Below are 21,573 nucleotides of genomic sequence, written 5' to 3' on the forward strand. Positions count from 1 at the left end.
AGAAAAAGCCTAAATGGGCATGTTAACTATCCATTTACCTGCACTATTCTAGGTTCTATCATTGAAGTCTCAGACCATCAGAAAATAATGTCTTGGACCCCATTATCTCAGTCAATCAAAGACAAGACTTCTGAGAGATGACTCAATACCATGTCATTTGATCTTACAGAAGGCTAATATAAAAAAAACTGTCATGTTTAAGAGCATAGTTTGAACCTTTTAGAAAACTGGCTGGAGACACATTCTACCTTGTGTCTTAGCACTGCTTTATAATGGATATATAAAGCAGTGTAATAAATTCCAGGAAAATAGTTCCAGGAAAGAATGTTTATCCTCACGGATGCATCTATATATGATGCCTTAATGGGAAACAGTTTCTTTTCCTTAGTTGCCAGGACAAACTTAAAAAGCTACATTAAGTGAGAATAAGAATCCGAGGTTTGTTTCAGAGTGTTTGAAGTCCTTACTAATCCTTCCCCTTTATTTGTTTATTAAAGTTAACATTGGCTTTAGGTTTTAGATAACTAGGAATAACCCAATTATAATAGTTTGTTTTTATTCTAGTGATATGATTCTGGGTAATCACAATTTTTAAAATGTATTTGCTCCATTTTCTATAATATTGGTTTGCTTTGTTACAAATACAATTTTTAAAAATGAAGAGAATTCTATCCATATCATAGATTTCAGTGGGTATCTGCTTTCAAAATATCTTCACCATCATATACCAGGACTTTAAATTTTAATTTTAGAAGTATGTTATTTGTATTTTAAATGCATATTGCAATTCAAGAATTCCCTGCCATCTATTTGTTTATCATATGTTTATCAAGTATGTACTGGGTACCCAGCACTGACCTAGGCACTGGAGATATAATAGTGAGCAAGTTAGACATATCCCCCTCCCTTCAGGAGCTCACAGTCTCATTGCAGCAGAAAAGAAACCAGGTGATGAAAACACAGGGTGGTCAGTGGTGTGACAGAAGTACAGGTTAGGTCACTTAACATATACTGGGCAACAGAGAGGCCTTTCCAGAGGTTGCCCATGACATGAAGATCTCAGGCAATAGTGGGAAAGGGGAAAAACCTTTAGGCAGGAGGCTGCAGACTCTCCACGGCTGCCCTTCTCATTGTATCCCTGGGGCCTTGCTCAGTGCTTGGCTCATGGAAGGTACTGAAAACATTTAAAATAAATAAATAAATGAATGATGGGACAGCATATGCAGAGGTTGAGAGCCATGGGCAGTAATCGGTCCTTTGGAGGAACTGAAAAGGGTATGGTTTGGCTGAGTTGTAGAGTTTGAGGTAGGTAGAAAGAGGCAAAATAAGACTAGAGAGACATCCAAAGCTCAGTTGTAAATGAGCCTTATGAATCATCTAAATAATCTGCACTTTATCCTAAGAGAAAAGAGAAGCCATATGTGCTTAAATAAATAAAACTTAAAACAAACAAACAAACAAACAAACAAAATCCAAGTCCCCTTTTCTCTTTCAGCAACTTGACCTTTGGTTAACTACCTGGATTCCCTTGGTAATTTGATAAAGACAGAATGTCAACTAAGTCTCAAGGTGACATTGCTGATAGCAAAAATGACCCCTCATTGGTAAAATGCATCTGGACTAGGAGAGTCTATAAATGAACCATAAAAACCCGATTTCATAGCTTTGGGCTTCCCTGTGAGCAGGGAAGAAATCGTTGCAAGAGATATAAGGCTGTTAGCAAGATGACTTCCATAGATGAACTGCTGGACTGTTGCATGGACTCCTGATGAGGAAGGCCTGCTGCTGTGGTGAGCTATGGTTGCTGATCTCTGCCCTTTAGAGTAGACAAGTGCCAGGTGTGGTGTATGGTCACCTTGTGAAACTGCATGTTTAGGTGAGCCTAACAAGAACCCCTGACAGGCACTGCATCATTGAAGGGTTTTAAGTAGAGAGTTAACACAAACAGACTTTTATGGGATTTCTTTAGCTATTGAAGGCAATTGCCCCAGGACAGGTTACTGAAATAATACATTAACCAGAATTATTAATAGAGTTGCTGGAATAAAACGGAAACCTACAAAGAAGGGAGGAAAAAGCATTCTCCTTTTAAGTTTTACCTAAACCTAAATGTTCTAAGCCCATCAAGTGGGACTTACAGGAATGCAAACTGCTTTCCCTATCTTTTGGTGTGTGGTTCATCTGCCACTTAATGGAGAAAACATTAATCTGGACTGGCAAATAAGAACCACCAGAGGGAATGGGCGAAATACTAAATAAAGACCACCAAGCCATTTTCAGAAAGCAGCAACTATTGAAAAGAGTCAGGTGTGAAATACTATCTCACCCCTTAACTAGCTGTGTGACTTTAAACAAGTCATTAGGCTTCTCTGAGCCTCAGTTTTCTTGGCAGGAAGAACAAAGGGCTCAGACTCAATGACCTGCAAATGATTCTGACTCAAAGACTCTATGAGTCCTGTAATCTGAGTACCACTCATATGCCAAGTACTAGGCTAAGTTCTAACACCCCTCCTGTCCCCTATAAAAAAAATGTTCAAAATCAGGTAAATTTCAAATGCCTGTAATAGAAAGATCAAGGGCTGGGGCCAACAGCTGGAGTAAGTCTAGTTCAGGGTTGAAGTAAGGACTTCATTATGTCTCTGCACCCAAATGTCAGCCTGTTTAACATGATAATTGCATCTATCACTGAAACTTTATCATATGCTTTGGACCCCTCACGTGGCTGGTACTACGGTAGGCTCTGCTAGGTGATTAACTATCAGAAATTACCCAAGATAGCTGCCCACATGTCTGGAGTACTTATTGCAACATTTGCCCACCATAAACTCTTAGTGATTGCAGCTGATTGACAGAATTAATAGAGATAATAAATATTTTAGGACTCCCATATTCTTCAACTACCTTGAAGTAAGACATAAAAATCCAGCATAATTTAAGCCTAAAATCTAAAACGAAATAATGCAAAGTGAAAATAATAATTTCATTTAAAAAAGCTTGTCTCCAAGAACATTAAGCACTTTCATATCTTCAGGGGCCACTAAAATGTATTGATTGAGAATGCAGGAGAAAACCTCTGTTTTTACAAAAAGTTTTGAAGTAGGAAATTTTAGTGAAAAGAATTGCGTGTACTTCTAGGAAATCTCATCATGATCTCAGTGTAATAGCCATTTGCAAAAGAGCCCTGAACTGAGTCCATGCCAGGGAGCATTATTGGAAAATGGCCCACTGCAGCTACTTCCTGGAATTCCTCTTCGTGCTTCAGCAGCTAGCTTGGTAGGCACTGGGCACCAAACAGAGGCACAGCATCTTACAGAGCATGGGGAAACTCATTCCAGGATGACACAGTTTGTGATTTGTGACTTGAGCCTTGAAACAGGCAGAAGACAACAGCTCACGTTACCCAAATCATGAGATAAGCCTTAAAAAAAAAGTACAACTAAAAGTGGCCATGGAAAAAAAAGACTGAGGTAATTATGGCAAGTATTTATTCCAAACAGCCACAATTTTATAGTGGGAGTTCAGGGATGTATAGAAAAACTAATACAGCCTCTGTTCTCATGAGCCTGCCCAGCACTTTCCAACCTGCATTCCATGGCATTGTAGTATTTCTGAGGGAATTACATAATTGCCTGATTCAAATTTTCTTTTTAAAAGATAGTTATAATTATTTGTTTTAAGCAATTGTTTAGCTACTGTTAAATAATTGTGATTAAAAATGCAAATCTTGTGTATTAAATTTAATAAACTTGGAAACCATAAACACATTGACTGACTTATGCTCTCAAACAACAGTTTTTGTGCAGATTCAAGATTAATCTCTGTGCTTATATTTATGAATGTATCATTGATTAGAGAGCGAGAGTGTGTGTGTGTTTAATGTTAGTACTTAGCAATTTTGTTCATGTAAAATTCTGTATGCAAGTGCTATGGAAGTACTCTTTCTGCTTTCTTCTCAATCAAAATATTTTCACTACAATGTAACCAAAGCAATATACTAAAATGAAGTAGATCTTGAGACCAAAAGTTTATATGACTGTCATCCATCTACCTTAATTTCAAATCTCATAATTCATCAAAATATTTACTATGTAAATTATTGGAAAATTAAACAATTAAGGTAAGAGTTTTCTCTGTTTTGCCAGTTGTTTCATTTTTACAAAATGTTCAGATGCTTATGAAAGTTTTAAAACAGCAATTTGGATTCTTTCTTAAACAATAAAATGAATCTAGTCATTGGTAAAAATTAGAAAGTTCTGTGCTTTACATAGGAGATGGAAGATGGAAGTTACTGATGAACCTTAGCATTAATTTTCTGACATTTTGCAAATTTTCAATTATTGCTGTGTAGAAGATCCCATATGAAGATGAAAAAATCCTAACTCACTTCGCAGAGCAGAAATTATTTTGAAATACATTTCTGCTATTATGCAACAACATGTATGGAGACAGCACACAGCTCTTACCTCTGGCAATAAGAAATGGAAAATTTTGGAGCTTGTGATCTAAAATTGTACTTTATATTAGAAAAATTCCATAAAGATTTACTTGACTTTTTCCATGTCTAGATTTGAGAAAAGGAATTAATAATTTTGAATTACTGCTATACATTAAAATAATAGATTAAAACATTTAAAATTTTATAATTATGGCTTGTGAATTTGAGAAGACGAGGATTGGGCAAGGAGGACAGGGAAAGTGAGACTATATTCAATGCAACTCTGAAGGGAAACCTGCCAATTGTAATATATAAAATGACTTATGATGCCTTCACCCTCTTCATACAGTTGTTATAACTGGAGCATCTAAGTGCTTTGTACCATTAGTCACTCCTGTATTGCAGTTTCATTCTTACATTTTGTAGTACCTTTTATACTTGTGATTTATGCCTACAGAATAACTAGGAAAACCATATATGTTTTACATACAGATTCCAGAAAGAGACAACTCGGCTAAGTAAAGTTATTTTTTAAATCCAGTTCTGTAATGGTGTTACAGGACACGTGGTTTTCCAGTAAAACCTACTCCTGTAGTTCCACTTTCCCTGCATAGACTTCTTCCAGGGCTGTACTGCTTTCTTAAGCTATATCATGGTGGAATCCTATCCTTCATAATGTTTTGGAGAAGGCTGAGGGTGGCGCCTGCACAATTTGATTTGGTGTAAAAATACACACCAAATCTGATTTCTGTTACATTAAGGCATTCTCTGACAAAATATACAGAACAAGAAATGAAGTGAATTGTGTTTTAGAAAAATCTTATGGGCTTGTTTCCCCGAATACCTGACCGCTAATTTAAAAAAAAGAATCAAAAACCCACTTTAATTGAATATTTAATAGATGATTTAATGGTCAAGTTAAGATACATTTTAACTGCTAAATATAAAAATGATTTGTGTTTGCTTACTGGAAATATTTGTAATATAAACTAACATATATAATAAACTAATATTTAAAGCAAATTTACCATGAAGAAATGCAATGACTATTTTCAATTTATAAACATCGTACATTCATCAAACTATATTTTTGACTAATAGTTGGCTTTTATAATATTAATATCATAACAGTGGATTGCCATTAACAGTAGAGATAGTTTAACTCATTTTTAAAATGGGCAATATATTTTACTTTAAAATGAACCACTGGAAATATAAAAATGATAATATTCTCCTATGGAAAGGCCCAAATGTAGCTAGAGTAAAATATATCATTTTTTATAAATAAATGAGTTTACTGTCTTGTAAATTCCATCCTCTACATAATGCCTCATGAAATAGGGTGATTTACAGAAAAGAACCTGGGATTGGCAAATAGGATGGGGCATATAATCCAGTCTAGTGCCATTCTCCAACAAGTTGTATCATCATAGTAAAGCTATGCAAGTGTACTGTACCTTAGTGTTCCTCTCAATAAAGTGGGCCAAGAATTACTTCATTTGATGTATGAAAAAAGAAACAAAAAAGATATGCTAAAATTTTTTCAAAAGTAACCTGTTGTATACGTAGAAAAGGCATGCTAATCATTTGAAAATAACTCATCTAATTTGTTTTAGTATCTAAAAATAGTGGTAAAATAGATATTCCAGGGTCCTGAAATTGCTGTTTCTTCACAGTACATTCTGAATAAACTTTAGTTCATTTGGAAAACTTGAAATATGAAGTCCCTGAGGAAATTCTGAAAACTCCTTTGCATTCCTCAGCATTAAACACAAACCACTATGGTGTCTGATGTTACCACCTGGAGACCTCTTGATATTTTTACCACAGGGAAAAAAAAGTGTATCAAAACATTTCTTTTTCTTCTAGCATTATAGGAATCCCAGACATAGGGCAATAAATATGTTACTGATACCCACAGGTGAGCAGGCAATTCTGCCCTGTGTTACAGGTACTTTGTCATCACCTTCTGAAACACTGTTTCACAGTGCAGGGTATGTTATATAAAAAATAAATGATGCTGCCAAATTTCAGCAGTTGGAAAGAAACATAAGTCAATGGCATAAGGGAAGTAGGTGATGTAATGACTCTAGAATTAAGTAGATGGCTTGAAGAGATGGATCATGAGGTTTAACCTTTGAAATTATTCATTGAATATTAATATAAACACAAGGAAAAGCACACTTCTAAGTTGCTTTGTTAAAATTCTATTGATTAAATCAAATTTTTTTAAATGACAGAGAGATAATATATCCTATTCCTGGAAAATGTCTAAGAACAAACACCTAATAATCTGGTCTTACTTAATGTTTCAGTTAAGGATGTTTGTAGAGAAGGAGGTTAATAATGTCTACATAATTACACAAAAAAGGAAAGGGAAAAATTGACAATGAAACCCAAACTTGTCAATAAATGGTAAACGATTACAGATGAATAAAAGGAGATGAAAAATCGGACCAAATATTAACTTATACAAATTGGAAAAGATTTAAAAACTGATTCAAAGAGGATGGGTGATTGAGATAATGACCAACCATAAAGAAAGAGAAATAACCTCAAATGGGCATGAAGAACCACAGCAACTCAGAAGGTGTTACTAATGAGATTTGAAATTTGATGATCCTAATGGGCATTTGGTGTTGTTTGGTCTAAAAGCAAGGAGGCAAGCTTTCCCTCCCCTATGTAATGTCAACAAAATTTCTTACTCCATGTAGGACATGGAGCACTAATGGTTCATCTAAACAAGCTACATTTATGAAGGCAGAAAAAAATTATAAAACAATTTAAAAAATTAAGAAAAAATACTGCTCTACAAATAAAACACTAAATAGATACTTGGACAAAATTTGGACACAGGGTTTCTTTGCACCTCCTGCTTTTGTCAGTTTCTGCTTTGCACTGAAAGTGTCTTGCATCTCTTAAAATAATTTTAATGGTCTCTCTCTTTCAGAAAAAAGCTCCACAGCAGAACCTTTTCATTCCAGGTATCTCACCTTCTGAACCCAGCTTGGAGTATCCCCATTCCCATGTCCTGCCCACACCAAAATCATCCCATCTCCTGACCATGCCATACTGCCCTGCCTTGGTATCTGTCCCCATGTTATTCCCTTTGCCTCAAATGCCCTTCTTGCATCAAGCCCTTTCCAACTAGTGTCAGTTGGGTCTCACCAGAAGCAGATTTTAGATGAAATTAGAAATGCAAATGTTTATTGGGAAGTAACACCTGTGAAAGAAAAAGGGCAAAAGCAGGGTTGCGTAAATTGTGAACTTTAATATCTCATTCACCTCCCCTAAAAATCATTTACTCTTCCTCTAAAAGTGCCTACATCCCCCACTTCTCTCACCCCTATGAATAAGGATATATAAGTTTTTAAATATTATTGGGTGTATTAGTCTATTTTCACACTGCTATAAAGAAATACCCGAGACTGGGTAATTTATAAAGGAAAGAGGTTTAATTGACTCATAGTTCTGCAAGGCTGGGGAGGCCTCAGGAAACTCACAAACATGGCAGAAAGTGAAGGGGAAGCAGGCACCTTCTTTACAAGGCGGCAGGAGAGAGAAGCGCAAGCAGGGGAAATGCCAGATGCTTACAAAACCATCAGATCTCATGACAACTCCCTCACTATCATGAGAACAGCATGGAGGAAACCGCCCCTGTGATCCAATCACCTCCCTCTCTTGACACGTGGGAATTACAGATCCCTCCCTCAGCACGTGGGGATTACAGTTAGAGATGAGATTTGGGTGGGGACACAGAGTCAAACCATATAATTGCGCTATTGGGTACTCACTTTCCTGTGATGCCCCCATGCATATAATAAATTGGTATGCCTTTTCTCCTGTTAATTTGTCTACCGTCTGTCTATTTCAGCAGACTCACTTATCAAAGCTCCAAAGGGTACAGAGAAGTTTCTCTTACCCCTTCAGGCTCTATCAGCCTAACAGAAACTCTAAAGCAAAGAATGCCTGTGAAAGGAGGTCAATATGGGCCAGAAATGGTGAGGCCCTGGTATCACCATCATGCTCAGCCATCGTCCCAAGAAGAGTGTGATCTCTGCTCCAACGCTGGGTCAGATATTAAAGGCACTAACAACTGGAAGCTGTCAGATAGCCATATTCCTCACATCTGGGAAAGGAGTCCTCTCTTTAAGAGGGATTTTAGCAGTACGTCTCTTCATGTCTGCCACAAAATTATTCTCCAACACACATGTGAATGTCTATTCCTATGTGAAGCCTCTAAAATTCATTCCCAGGCAGTTGGTGGCTCTCTATGCCTTTACAGTAATGTGAATGTTAATTTCTCATACCACACTGTGTCCTCACTATTTTTACAACCTTTTGGAAAGTAGAAACCACATCATATTCTTCTCAGATTTCAAGTACATAGCTTGGGAAACAGAGCACCTAATAAAATATATTCAAAAGAGGTAGAGTGATTTGATGGCTGGACTTACCAGCTGGACAACAGACCAGACTGGTTATTGCCTATTCTGGTCCAGAGATACTAAGAGATATACCTCATGTATGTGAAAGTGAAAGGGTATTAAGAGTTCTCAAAAACTGATTTCAATGTACTTTAAATACTAATGGACTATTGGACTTTAAGGATAACATGTATCAACAATTAGCATGTTGTAAGCCAAAGTTTTGAAATTATGTTCCCAATCATAAATCTAATCACCATCATAAGTAGATTACATGAACCTATCTGTGTATCTCTTTCCAACCATTATTCTCACTTCTAGTTTTCTCTTTCAATTTACAGATTGGGTAACAGTCCATCTAATTTTAAAATTCTAAGATGTACTGTGTTTATTCTGTACTGTAAAATAATTTAATTTCAGTTGTAAATTTTAGAGTTTTCTTTGATGACCTTTTTAGGCAAGGCTTAGTAGTTCAGTAACATATACTCTTCATTTAATCAGCCAGCAATATTTACTCTCTGCTAAGCCCAAAGCTAAGCTGTGAGGACATAAAGATGAAAGTGAATGAATAGGATAAGAAGCCCCTTTTCTAATGGTGGAGACAGAATGGCTGATGATTTACTACATGGACTGGGAAGTGCTATAATACCTAAAGGGTACACAAGGGAAAAAGCAAACATGGGAGAGAAAGAAAAGGAACTTCTTGAGTTAGTGTGACTTTCTCTTTTGGTTTCATCTCCTTCTGAACTTTTTTAAAGGGGAGCGGGACAGAAACAAAGTCCTTAAGAATGTCTAGAATCCCTTTCTCTAAGGCAGTTCTCGGTAGGGTTGGTACTGCCCCCTAGGGGGAGGCTTTGGAAACTGCCCAAGTGAGGGACTGGGTTTCTCAATGATTGTAGAGACACTTTATTGGCATTTAGCAGTCAGGCACCAGAGATGCCAGATGGCCTGCAATGCTTAGGAACGCCTTTCACAGTGAATAACTGTCCTGCTTGGTTTTCAAATATTCCACTGGTCATTCATGAAAAGAAAAGCTTTGTATGTAATTTCCCAAGTCCAGAACATAACTTTGTTTTACATATAACTATGGAGGAATCTTTCAAGGCTTTTAACATACTTTGAATTTTCTAAGAAGGCCACTACCTTGTATATTAAGGAATGGCCACATTTTGCTACTATTGTCCAGTGTCAAGAAAATCCATTTTAGATACCCACATCACTGACAGAATCACCACACACACAGATATATGCATCAATAGCAGTGGTCTTATGTATACCACAGCATATTATATAACAGTATGTTACTATATCTTTCAGTGTAGTCATGCCCAGGATTTTGCACATAATACTTTACTATAAGTTACTTACCATTTATTTTTCCTTTAAATGTTATATAAATGATGTATGTAGGTAGGTTATAATGCTTATGAATTTCATTTTAAGATTTTCAAGGGAGCATTACAAAATATTGGCTAGGATTGAGAGCACTGAGATCCACTACGATTACTTTTTTTAAAATTTCAAGACTGACCTCATTCTAATGAGAAGAAACATGTGAGGCTGGAAGTTTATATAGACCATGTTCTTAGGCATATTCAGTTACCAAAGAGTGTTTTTACATTGTCCCTAGATTGGCAGGGCTGCCTGGCTGGAGGACAGATATTCTGCACAAATATACATAAAGGGCCCATGCTCATCTGTAGCAGGTAAAAGAAAGAACTAACAACTCTCCTTTGAATTGTCTTCATTTCTTGTAGCTTATTCTCAGGGGGTTGAAAATGAAGTACTCTGCCTTGGTTTTGCCTTCAAATACTTGTCAGCATTAATTTTTCCTGGTGGTTCTCTAGACAGATATATTGCTCTTGAACAAAGTAGATAAATTTGAAGCAATGCCCCTGGACTAACACTTCAGAAGAAAACCATCATCCTTATAATCACCATTTCCATTCTCTTTCTAGTACAGACAATTAACATATTATTTAGCATTTCTTTCATTCTGCCTTGGACCAGAGTTCTTTGATAGATGTCTGTCATTGTCATTTATTACACATCCACTCACTCAGGCAACAAACATTTAATGAGCACCCATCATACACCATGTGGTCCATTTGCTGCTAGGAGCACAAGATTAATAAGTTCCAACTTTTGCCCTCAAGGAGTTCACAGAGTTGGGAAAGAAAGGCAAATAAATAAGCAATTAGAGTGCCAGGTAATATACAGTATTTTAGAAGGTTATAAAAGGAGTGTAGAAAGTAATATAAATGAAAATGTCAGCACCTAACATTGAACCTTAGACATAGTAAGTGCTTAATAAGAAATGTTTCGAGTTATTCAAATTGTTCCAAGGCTGAAAATTGGGCAGATAAATTGAAGAGTTAAAATGGAAGGATAAGGCTCCAGCTAGCAAGATGACTGACATTCTGATGGGAATGGGATATTCCAAGGGCACTGGGACAAATGGATAATTTTTCCTTCAGCCACCATTTCTCTAGCAATTGCCACATACTAGACACTGTGCTATCTGCTGAGAAGACAAAGCTCTCTAAATCAGTTGTTTTTCTCTAAAGGAATTTAGTCCCTCTATTTACCAAAATTGTTTTTAGAACTATGAATACATATCCATATTGGCTGACAGAATTGCATTTGATGGAGGAACTAATGTCACACAAATTCCCAGGCTCAGAAGTAGAATGAATCATTAGTGGAGGCTGACCCAAGCCAGCCATGTTGCAAAGAGGGCTCTGTGTCAGCAGCATGGGGGCTACTGTAAGAGACCAGGAATGAGCCAGAAGTCCATAGGGAGGTGATGAGTCAGAACACAATATGTGAATCCAAATACTGAGGAAACAATGTTTGAGGCAGCGGCTCCTTAGAAACTTCTGTGGATAAACTGTAACTGAATAAGGAGTGAGGTAAGTTTCAGGCAAGGCTCAGGTCTCTAAAAATATCAAACTGAAATCAGATCATGACAAAGTGAGCAGTCAAGAGTGAAATAACTATCACTAACAGAGTCTTCTGGGGGGTTACAAACTAGATTCATTCATATGACTATTTTTAATTTCCTGTGAGCTTGCTGTGTGTACATCTCATGGTCCTAGGATGGTGACTCTCAGATAACACGAATTTCAGTTTGTATTCACGAATTTCAGTTTGTATTCAAGACTTTGTCTGGATGCTAAAGAATAGCAATCGGCTGGTTTCCCTCCACTGCTCCTTCTTTTACTAATTAGGAATTGGCTGAATCTTCAGTACAAACTATCTCACTTTCCATCCATTCACCCATCCACTCAATAAACACTTATTAACAGCTTCTAAGTAAGAGATCATTTTAGGTGATGGGAGGAAAAAAGATAAATAGACCTGATCCCTGTCCTTGAAGGGTCAGTGTCGGGAGGTCAGTCTCAGCTTCGGAAACAATAGTGCAAAACACATTGACTTCAGTGACAGAATCTAGATCACTTTTTGTCAATAATTTAAATGGGTATGCAGACAATCATAGATAAAGTGGTGCCTGCACGACTGTTACCAAAGAAATATTTAACTCAATTCCTCGATCAGACCATCTCTGGGCAGAGCCAGGCTGGCATTCTGACTGCTCATGAGGAAAAAAGATGATGAAATATTCCAGTTTTTCATATGCCAAGATGAAAATCATCAATCTCAATCTCCGTGAAAGATAAAACTACTTTTAGAAAAGAGCAGTGAACTCTTATCAGTCTTTCTAAGGTGATGCAATCTTTAAGATGATACAGAGAGGGCAGAAACAGTAAAGAAGTTTAGAAGAATGTATATGGGCAAAAGGGAAATGATGAAATTTCTCTCTCAATTTTATAAGGAGCTAAAAATAAGATGGGATATATTTTAAACCTAAATGACTACAATGCTTTTTGAAAAGTAGGTAATGTATTCTAGGTGCTAAATTATTTATTTGCTTATCATATACAAATTTGTCTTTAACACATGAATACCTTGATATTTAAATGAGATTGTCTATTAGATAATTAAAATTAATCTACACAAATGAAGTTTTAAATTTCTTCCACTTTTTCCCCTGTACCCCCAACCCTTATTCCTTTCAACTCGTATGTGTATGCCAAATCTTGTACATTTTTAGCATTTACCAGATGGCTTTTTCGGTTCCCAAAAGGAACCTTTTAAATTTTTAAGCAATAAAACTTATATTTCTGTTAATTCATATTCCAAATAAAAGTCTTCAATATTAATTACATCTTTATTGGAATAACTTACAATGCTACACCCCAGCTTTGCAGAGACTGCATATCCAATATCTGTTAATTGATTTCTTCTAGAGAATCTTTTTTTTCTGTTGTTATGACAAAATGTTTTGCTGTCTTGTAATCCTCAACTGGGTAACACATTTTTCTGTAACTGTCATACAGAAGGCACTTGGTAAATATTTGCTGAATTAAGAAATCCAAAAGGAGAATTGTAGGTAATTGGGAAGCAATGTAATACGGTGATGAAGATCTCAGATTTCAAAGCCAGCCTGCCTGAGTTTGATTCCCCGCTCTGCCACTTGTTGGAAATAAGACATTGGACAAATTATTTAACTTCTCTGAATCTGTTTTCTCATCAATAAAGTGGATATAACAATATTATCTGTTCCTATAGCATTGCTGTGTGGATTAAATAAATATTAGGTCATATCAGTGTTAACTGTAACTATGTTAATCATTACTGTTGTTATTCCAGAAGGCTAAGGGTTAGGAAAAGAAGGCATTTGCAAGATGAGATTAAAAGAGAACACTAGTGTTCTAAAGAGAAGAAATTAAAGATGCATGGGTTTCTTGCTAATGTCCAGGTTTCTCATTCATGCATTTCTTAGTCAGATGATCTTGAGAGGAAGAAAAGGGCATAAATGGCTTCAGTGGTCTTAGTAAACAGCTACCTTTCCCCACCCCAACTTTTTGCTTGGCTAAATCCTGTTCATCCTTCAGCTCCCAGTTTAGGCAACTTTTCTTGGAAGAAGCCTTCTTGAGCCCCAAAGACTATGTTAGGCACCTCTTTGATGTGCTTCCCTAGTCTCTGCTCTGGCATCTGACACACTTTTATGGTTAATGATTCTAGTTTGTATCCTCAGCTAAAGAATTTCAGTTTGTTAGTTTGTTCTTGGCGATATCCTTAGCTCTTGAGTCAGTGCATAGAAGCAGAGAGGAAGTGGTATAAAGAAGTGATGCATAAAGATGTATTTAAAGTTTTGGAGATAGGCACTGTACAAAATAGCATATCAAATCGCCAACACTCCATAACCAAAAGTCAATCATATCTGCCTAACTGTAGCTTCCTAGCTCAATCCACCCAAAAGTTTTAAGTGAGACATTTTCTTGTAGAAAGTAACAAAGAGGAGCTCTGAAATACGCATCAACAATATATGTATGTTTGCTTATAAATGCTTGTACACGCTATTAGCATATCAACATTATGTCCATTATAAAATACACACAAAAATAGAAATTCCAAAATGAGGAAATTAACACACGCACACATATATACATACAACACACACAACACACACACACACACACACACACACACACACACACACACACACATATATACCTTCTGATGTAGCATAAGTTAAGTTTGGCAATGCCATTTACATCTTGTTTTCTCAAGCTTGCATTATTCTTATTGTCTTTAAACCACGGTTTCTTGAGAGAGAACTGTTAAGTGTCTTGTCTATTTTCTGGTGATTAGTTTAGTTAAAAACTATAAAATAAAATCTACAGGTCACCTAAACAGGTACACTTGAAACTGAACACACCAAGGATGCCTTTTGTAGAGTCGATCTTCCACTATATCTTCAGCACACCTGGAATACCACATGTAACAATGTACCACCCAACATATGGGCCAAGTCATGACACCACAGTCAGTCATTATCACTGTGCTTTGCCCCTAAACCAAAGGTAATGTGATCCCATTACACTTTGTGCCACTAGTGTGCTTAAAAGATTTCCCACACCACACTAGAGAGAAAGCCCCAGACCTCACTACCACATACGAGGCCTTCTATGATGTGTCCTCCATTACTTCTCTGCTCCTTGATCACACGTACCACACAGGCCTTTCCTAAGTGACTTCTGTGGCCATAAAGAAGAACTCACTTACTCCTGGAGATCTTAGAGTAAATGAAAAAAAGATGCACTTACTACAAATAATGGCAGTCAGGGAAGAGTTTCCCTGTAGGGTAGTCACAAAGCCTTTCCACAAGTAGATATCCTTCTGGAAAACTCAGCAGGCCAAGAAAGCCTGCCCTGGGCCCGTACTTCTGCAGGGCAGGATCACCAAAATGTTTCTGTTGAATGGATTTTTATTTTCTTGATGTACAATAAATGCATGGTTTTATTTAAACAAAAAACACATTTTTATTATTTAATTTTCTAGATAAGTCTTTGAAGATGATGCATGCAATAAAGATTATTTGCAATACCCATATTTGATGCATCGTTTTCACAACCACATGGTTTAGCATGAAATTTAAATTCAGCCAATAATTCCAAGGTGACAGTTTTATCTACAAAGCCTCCATTTCTAGTTCAACCAATTTATTTAATGGAACAATTTAGAGCACTTGTTTAAACTGATCCAAATAACATTCAAAATAAAGGGAAATAACTTTCAAATGCAATTTAATAATAGAAACTATTGCTGTTTTTAAAGCAATGAATCTAAGCCTCAAATGTAAGTGTTAATTGTACAAGTTCTTATTAAAGAGATTCAAGGAAGATAGCAAAGTAATCATTATAAAAACGTTAACTTAGATAAAATCACCACTTTCCCATAAAACACAGATACACAAATATTAAGACCTCAAATAAAATACATGCTGTGAAGTGTAATAGGAGAAAACACTAAAAAATAAGACAAAATTACAGGTTTAAATATACATTATGCCTTAACTCTCACTTTATTGGATTTCCATTGCTTTCTAGACACATCCCTACAAATAGTTCCAGACACCTGGTGATTTTCTTTATTATGAGGGTTGAGATGGCAATAATTAAATATTCTGCATTTCCTTTAGTAAGAGAAGCATGATTTATGAGAAAAGAATAAAAATCTAAGAAAATCACTTAGCAAATTATTTGATTTTTAGTTCAAACTGATTTAGGGCAAATTTCTTCCACGTTGCAAGTATGGAAAACGTAGCTTACTGGATAACAGCACAGTATTTAGGAGAATATCTAGGTTTGCTTCCCTGTTTTTAGTAATTTTGTGTCTGTAGGCAAGACACAAAACCTCTCTTAAGTCTTAGTTTATTCATTTTGAAAACGGGGTAGTATAGGAAGTATGTTTCAAAGAGTAAGATGTATACCACTGGTGGCATTTAAGATAGCTGGTTTGGCAAGGTGGGCAGATTGCTGGAGCTCAGGAGTTTGAGACCAGCCTGGGTAACATGGTGAAACCCCATCTCTACAAAAAATACAAAAATTAGCCAGGTGTGGTGGTACACATCTGTAGTCCCAGATACTTAGGAGGCAGAGGTGGGAAGATCACCTGAGCCAGGAAGACTGAGGCTGCAGTGAGACAAGATCACACCATTGCACTCTAGCCTGGGTGACAGAGTGAGGCACTGTGTCAAAAAGAAAAAAAAAAGAAAGATAGCTGGTGTGGTGATAAACTCATATTTAAAAGTGTATTTCAACACTTTTAATGAGTATGATAAAAAATATAAAATTAGTATGTAAAATAAAAAAATAACTAATTTCTCAGGACAAACCTAGCTAGTATGATGGGAATCTCTTTCTTAGAGTATAGTTCTTTTCAGTTGTACTTTGAAATTTCACTTCAATGAACATGAACATTTTAAAAATGGTAAAGTCCTTTACACAGAGAACTAAATGTCAGAAGAAGGGTCTTAGGGTTCATGTGGATTGTGTCAGAATTAAAGGAAATGGTGAGCTAAATTTCATAAGATTCTTAGCAAAGCATTGGAATATATTAAAAACTCAATAATTATTATTTTTCCTTGTGACATTGTTGCCATATTGCTATAATCCTAATAAATCAAATATACTCCATTTAGCATAAAAGAAGTTTGAGTATCTGTGTATAGCAAAACCATCATCTTTTACTTTCCAAATGATTTATAAATAATACGTACCACCAAGAAACCAAGAAAGAAAAAAAGAAATTAAGAAACGAGGGGAGGGACAGGAGCTCATAGAGGACAAATAAGCAGAGTTGATGAAATTAAACAACATATACAATTTGCCATAAGAATATTTTGCAAAATGACATATGTTGCAATGATTAGGCTAAGGAAATCTGCCTATGAAATTTGAGGAATTACTACACCCAGTGAATAGCACCTCTATAATCATATTACATTTTGTCTTAGGACATTAGAAATAAAGATAACAGTTTAATGGTTATGTATTCTAAAAATTCTATCAACCAGCCTGGGCAACATGTTGACATCCCATCTGTACTAAAAATAAAAATTAAAAAAAAAAAAAAACTAGCTTATAATGGTGGTGCTTGCCTATAGTCCCAGCTACTCAAGAAGCTGACGCAGGAGGATCATTTTATTCCAGGAGGTGGAAGTTGCAGTGAGCTATGATCATGCCACTGCACTCCAGACTAGTCGACAGAGCCTGCACCCCCCACCCCCCCAAAAAAAATCCTATCAAGTAAGGCACTACATGCCACTGTAATGAAAGTATAAAAACATTTCCTGTAATTTTACTAAGTTCTTGTGAATAGTTTTTTTAAAATAAGCAATTTCTCAAAAAGAAAAAGACAATATTAATATGAAATATAATACTACTTGGATAGTTCTCTCTTCGATGTATTTTATGTGTCTCCCATTTAATTGCAATTGTAGTTAATATTTTCCTGCAGGTAATATTTCTGAAAATAATATACGCCCAGCATTTTGTGAATATGTTCTTGTTCTTTTAAATAAAGTATTCTAAATTTCTTCCACCAACATATAAAGTAGGTGTAATATTCTGGTGTTCTAATTCTTATCACAGATTAACCACAAATTTTCTTTTACCATAGGCAAAAAAAGGACTATTCAATAATTAATCAAAAGAGAGTTAATACCACACTTTAATCCAAATGTCTTTAGTCATAGTAAGACTAAATTCTATACTATCAACAGTTCTTTCTTTAAAGATGCATTCTGGCCATCTTGCCCAGGCTGGATTCTAACTCCTAGGCTCAAACCATCCTCCCAACTCAGCCTCCCAAGTAGCTGGGACTGCAGGAACCTCCTTATGTCTAAGAATGTACTGGGGACAGAATTGGGCACAATCTGGTGAAACCTCAAATATGAGTAAGCCAAATGACAGAAAAATTCATCTAAAGTTTCACTTTGATAGCTGACCAATAATTTCTTACCCAGAAAATGGGGCTCTGGGCCAATGAACAAGGTAGGCTCTCAAAATTAGGGAGAAAATTCAGAAATGACATCTACTGAGAGTTAACAAACAATGAACAAGTAACACTAGCTGACTTGGGAGAGGTGGAAGAAACCTATCAATGACACTATGGGCAGCCCTCCATATGTGTCAAAAATGCAAATGTAGTCACTCAAAATTAATTAAAAAGCAATTTTTCTGCTTCTTGCTTAAAATATGTAATACAACTATAATTACGTGATATGATGAAACAGGAGCTTTTTCACAGAGGTGAATTTACCAGATCATTAAAGCTAATTTTTGGAAAATAAACATGCATATGACTTAAAATAACCATCTAGCTTTATCAAATTATTAATTGAATTTACCATAATCAGCAACTGTCCTGGCATTAAAACATATTCTACCTGTTTTGATCTCTGGCCTTCACTAAATATGCCTTTTCATTTCTCTCTACATAACACTCTCCAATCAGTAATCTCATAAAAACAATGAGAAGAAATCATTAAGTATTTCCAAGAATGACTCCTGTTTTAAGATTTAACATTTCATATGTAGTAACATTGCTCCTAGTCCTGAATAAATTAAAAGAAAACCCTTTGTGAGAGATAAAAGAAGTACTTAACAATTTAACCACCTGTAATATGTAAATTTATAACATGTTTTCCTGACAAAAACACATATTTAATCACATGATAAATTAATGTATTCATGAAAAGCTTACAATAAAGTTGAAAATTAAAGTTGTACTTTTTTTTACAGTTTTTAATTTTTTTAAGTAACAGCTAACATTACGATAAAAATCATAGAACATTTTACAACATAAATTTAGACTCACTTGTTGGCCCTAAACCATAAACATTATCATTAGGAAGTGACAGTGACGAAGTTTGTTATAAAATCAAATGATCTAACCATAAAAATAGTTTATTTTTTATATGATACTTCTGTTGCCCAGAAAAGGAAAACTGGTACATGACTTTTATCAAGGTACAAAGTAAAAGCAAATTTACCCATTATGATTAGGGTATTCCTGTAATATATATCCTATTAAGCTATTGCTGTTACTTCTGCTTTCAGTTTTAATTGCTTAACTTCAAAACATTGTTATAAATAATACAAGCTGTTCTTCTAGCAAATATTTATGATTATAATAGGATCTAGAAGTCCTTCAAACATTTGACAATTATAAGAGGAAATTGATAGCAGAATAGGTCAGAAACAGGGCACTTGGCTCAGCTCTTGAAGAGATGATATACTGTGAACTTACATTTTCAATACTCTCTAAGTAGCGATGCTCCTCAAGTTATGGTGGTGTTACTTCTGGATAAACCTATCCTATGACCTTTTCAACTTACAGTGGGTTTAGCCAGATATAACCCCATCATAAGTCAAGGAGACTAGTGAATGTCTATCACTTGTGCACCATGATATAATCGAAAATCGTTCAGTTGCACCACCATAAGTTGGAGACTATCTATAGTAGAAAAGTTCTGTTGAAAGAGTATACCAATAAATTTTGTACTTACTTTGCAGAGGCAAAGTGTTTCTAACACACTGTAACTCTAGTTCTTCTGTCCATTCCAGCTTTGGCAGCATCTGCTTCATCTCACAGTTACCATTCTCTGCCATGGACACTGGTTGACTATTGACGGGTATCTTTCCCAAACTCTTCATGTGTTGTTGAACTTCCGCCAAGAGAACAGCTTGTATTGCTTCAGTTACCTGTAAGGTATTTTTTTAAGTGAATTATTTTTAGTATTATTACAAATGCTTGGGTATGTTGCAAAAAATCCAAAGCCCGGAATTTAAATTTGAATAGGTTTCCATAAACGATAACTTTTCATACTTCTAGAATTAGCATCCACAACAACTGAAATGTGGGTAGCAACAACTGGCACCCAGACTTTCACACTGTTTTTTTGCAATGCAAGAGATTCTAAAAGGATACTTGAGGGGCATTTTTTAAAGTCCAGAATGCCAAACATTACACTATGGGACAAAGAGGAGTTTTTAATTATTTTTCCTATTTTCATTTCCACCAGAAGATAAAGAAAATTCATTTGAATTTATCCTATGGCTCTTAAAGACAAGGTTAGATCCTCAAACCATGTCTAGCTCCAAAGCATTATTTAAATAAACACTGCATTTAAACTATGCTTTACACAGAAAATTAAAGAAATGACTTCAATAATAAATCTCACTAACTTTTGTGTATACCTATGTGGTTTTACATAGATTAAAGTATTGCAAGGCACGTCTTCCAATTGCTGTGTGTGCCCAGTCAAGGACCTATGGTTCGAAGGGCGGGGGGAAAGGGACACTTGCCACAGAACATCCAACTAAATTCTTCATTTTTAAAATGAAGAATCTGGGTCATGACACCTCAAGCTTACACAGACTTGGTGGACAGACCTTCTGATCCCTGATTCTATGTCCTTCGAAGTACATGTCCACTCAAGATTCTATATCCTCTGCCCTCAGTGCAAAGCTAGTGACAGTTTCCTAGACCTCTTCCTGGTAACAGATGAGGCAAGGTCTAGCAGTTAGGTACAGCCCAAGGAAGGCCAGGAGCTGAATTAGGGAGAGAAAAGAATGGACACTGCTGATATAGACGAACTAGGGACACCTTCTCATCACTCTTCTTCAGCCAACAGTTAAACCTTCATATAGCTACATCCCAGTGCCTTTCATATAGCTACATCCCAGTGCCTTTCATATAGCCACATCCCAGTGCCATAGCATATATATTTTCCCCTCAGAAGTCTGTCCTCTGTCAAGCTGACTCATGTTCCACAATTCACCACTGGACCCCTCCATTACTCCCAGTCTACCCATAAGCATGTCTAGAGCTAGGGATATGAGACAACACCGAGAGTGGTGACCTAGAGATGCTTTGGCCAAAAACTGAACGTGTATTTATGTAAACAAATTACATTCAGTCTCTTTTGTATGTGATGGTAGCATGTGAGACCTTCAGGTCCCAGGGACATCCAACGAGCTTATTATGATGGCAGATACTTGCTGAAATCCTGGGGCAGAAAAGCTGGCCTCTGACTTTTAAATATAGGAAGCTTCCTGAGAATACTGGAGCAGCTTCCTGATTGCTGATTATCTCCCTGCCCTTGTCCAGCCCACACTCAAATGTTTAAGGAGTGAAAAAAGGCTAAGGAATAGTAGAATATCACTATTGCATACCATGCATACTAACATGAGGTACTGCCTAATCGCAATGCAAGTGAATGGTGCTTACTCATGAATATCATGTAATGAGATATTTAACATCAGAGTATCAATTATGTGCCATTAATCTAAGATA

General features: G+C 36.1%; 1 protein-coding gene across 8 annotated transcripts in view; it reads right to left on the reverse strand.

Annotated features, from left to right (window-relative positions):
- Window positions 1-21,573, reverse strand: part of WDR72 (WD repeat domain 72) — a 249,138-nt gene that overhangs the window by 63,555 nt on the left and 164,010 nt on the right. For all 8 annotated transcript variants that reach the window (NR_102334.2, XM_011521436.3, NM_182758.4 and 5 more), the window contains one exon: window positions 19,784-19,979. Coding sequence is in view for 7 of the 8 variants with exons in the window: in XM_011521436.3 (XP_011519738.1) it covers window positions 19,784-19,979 (196 nt within the window). In the remaining variant the exon portion in view is untranslated. The remainder of the gene's footprint in view (window positions 1-19,783; window positions 19,980-21,573) is intronic.

The sequence above is a fragment of the Homo sapiens genome, chromosome 15 (assembly GCF_000001405.40).
Source record: "Homo sapiens chromosome 15, GRCh38.p14 Primary Assembly".
Taxonomy (NCBI): Eukaryota; Metazoa; Chordata; class Mammalia; order Primates; family Hominidae; genus Homo; species Homo sapiens.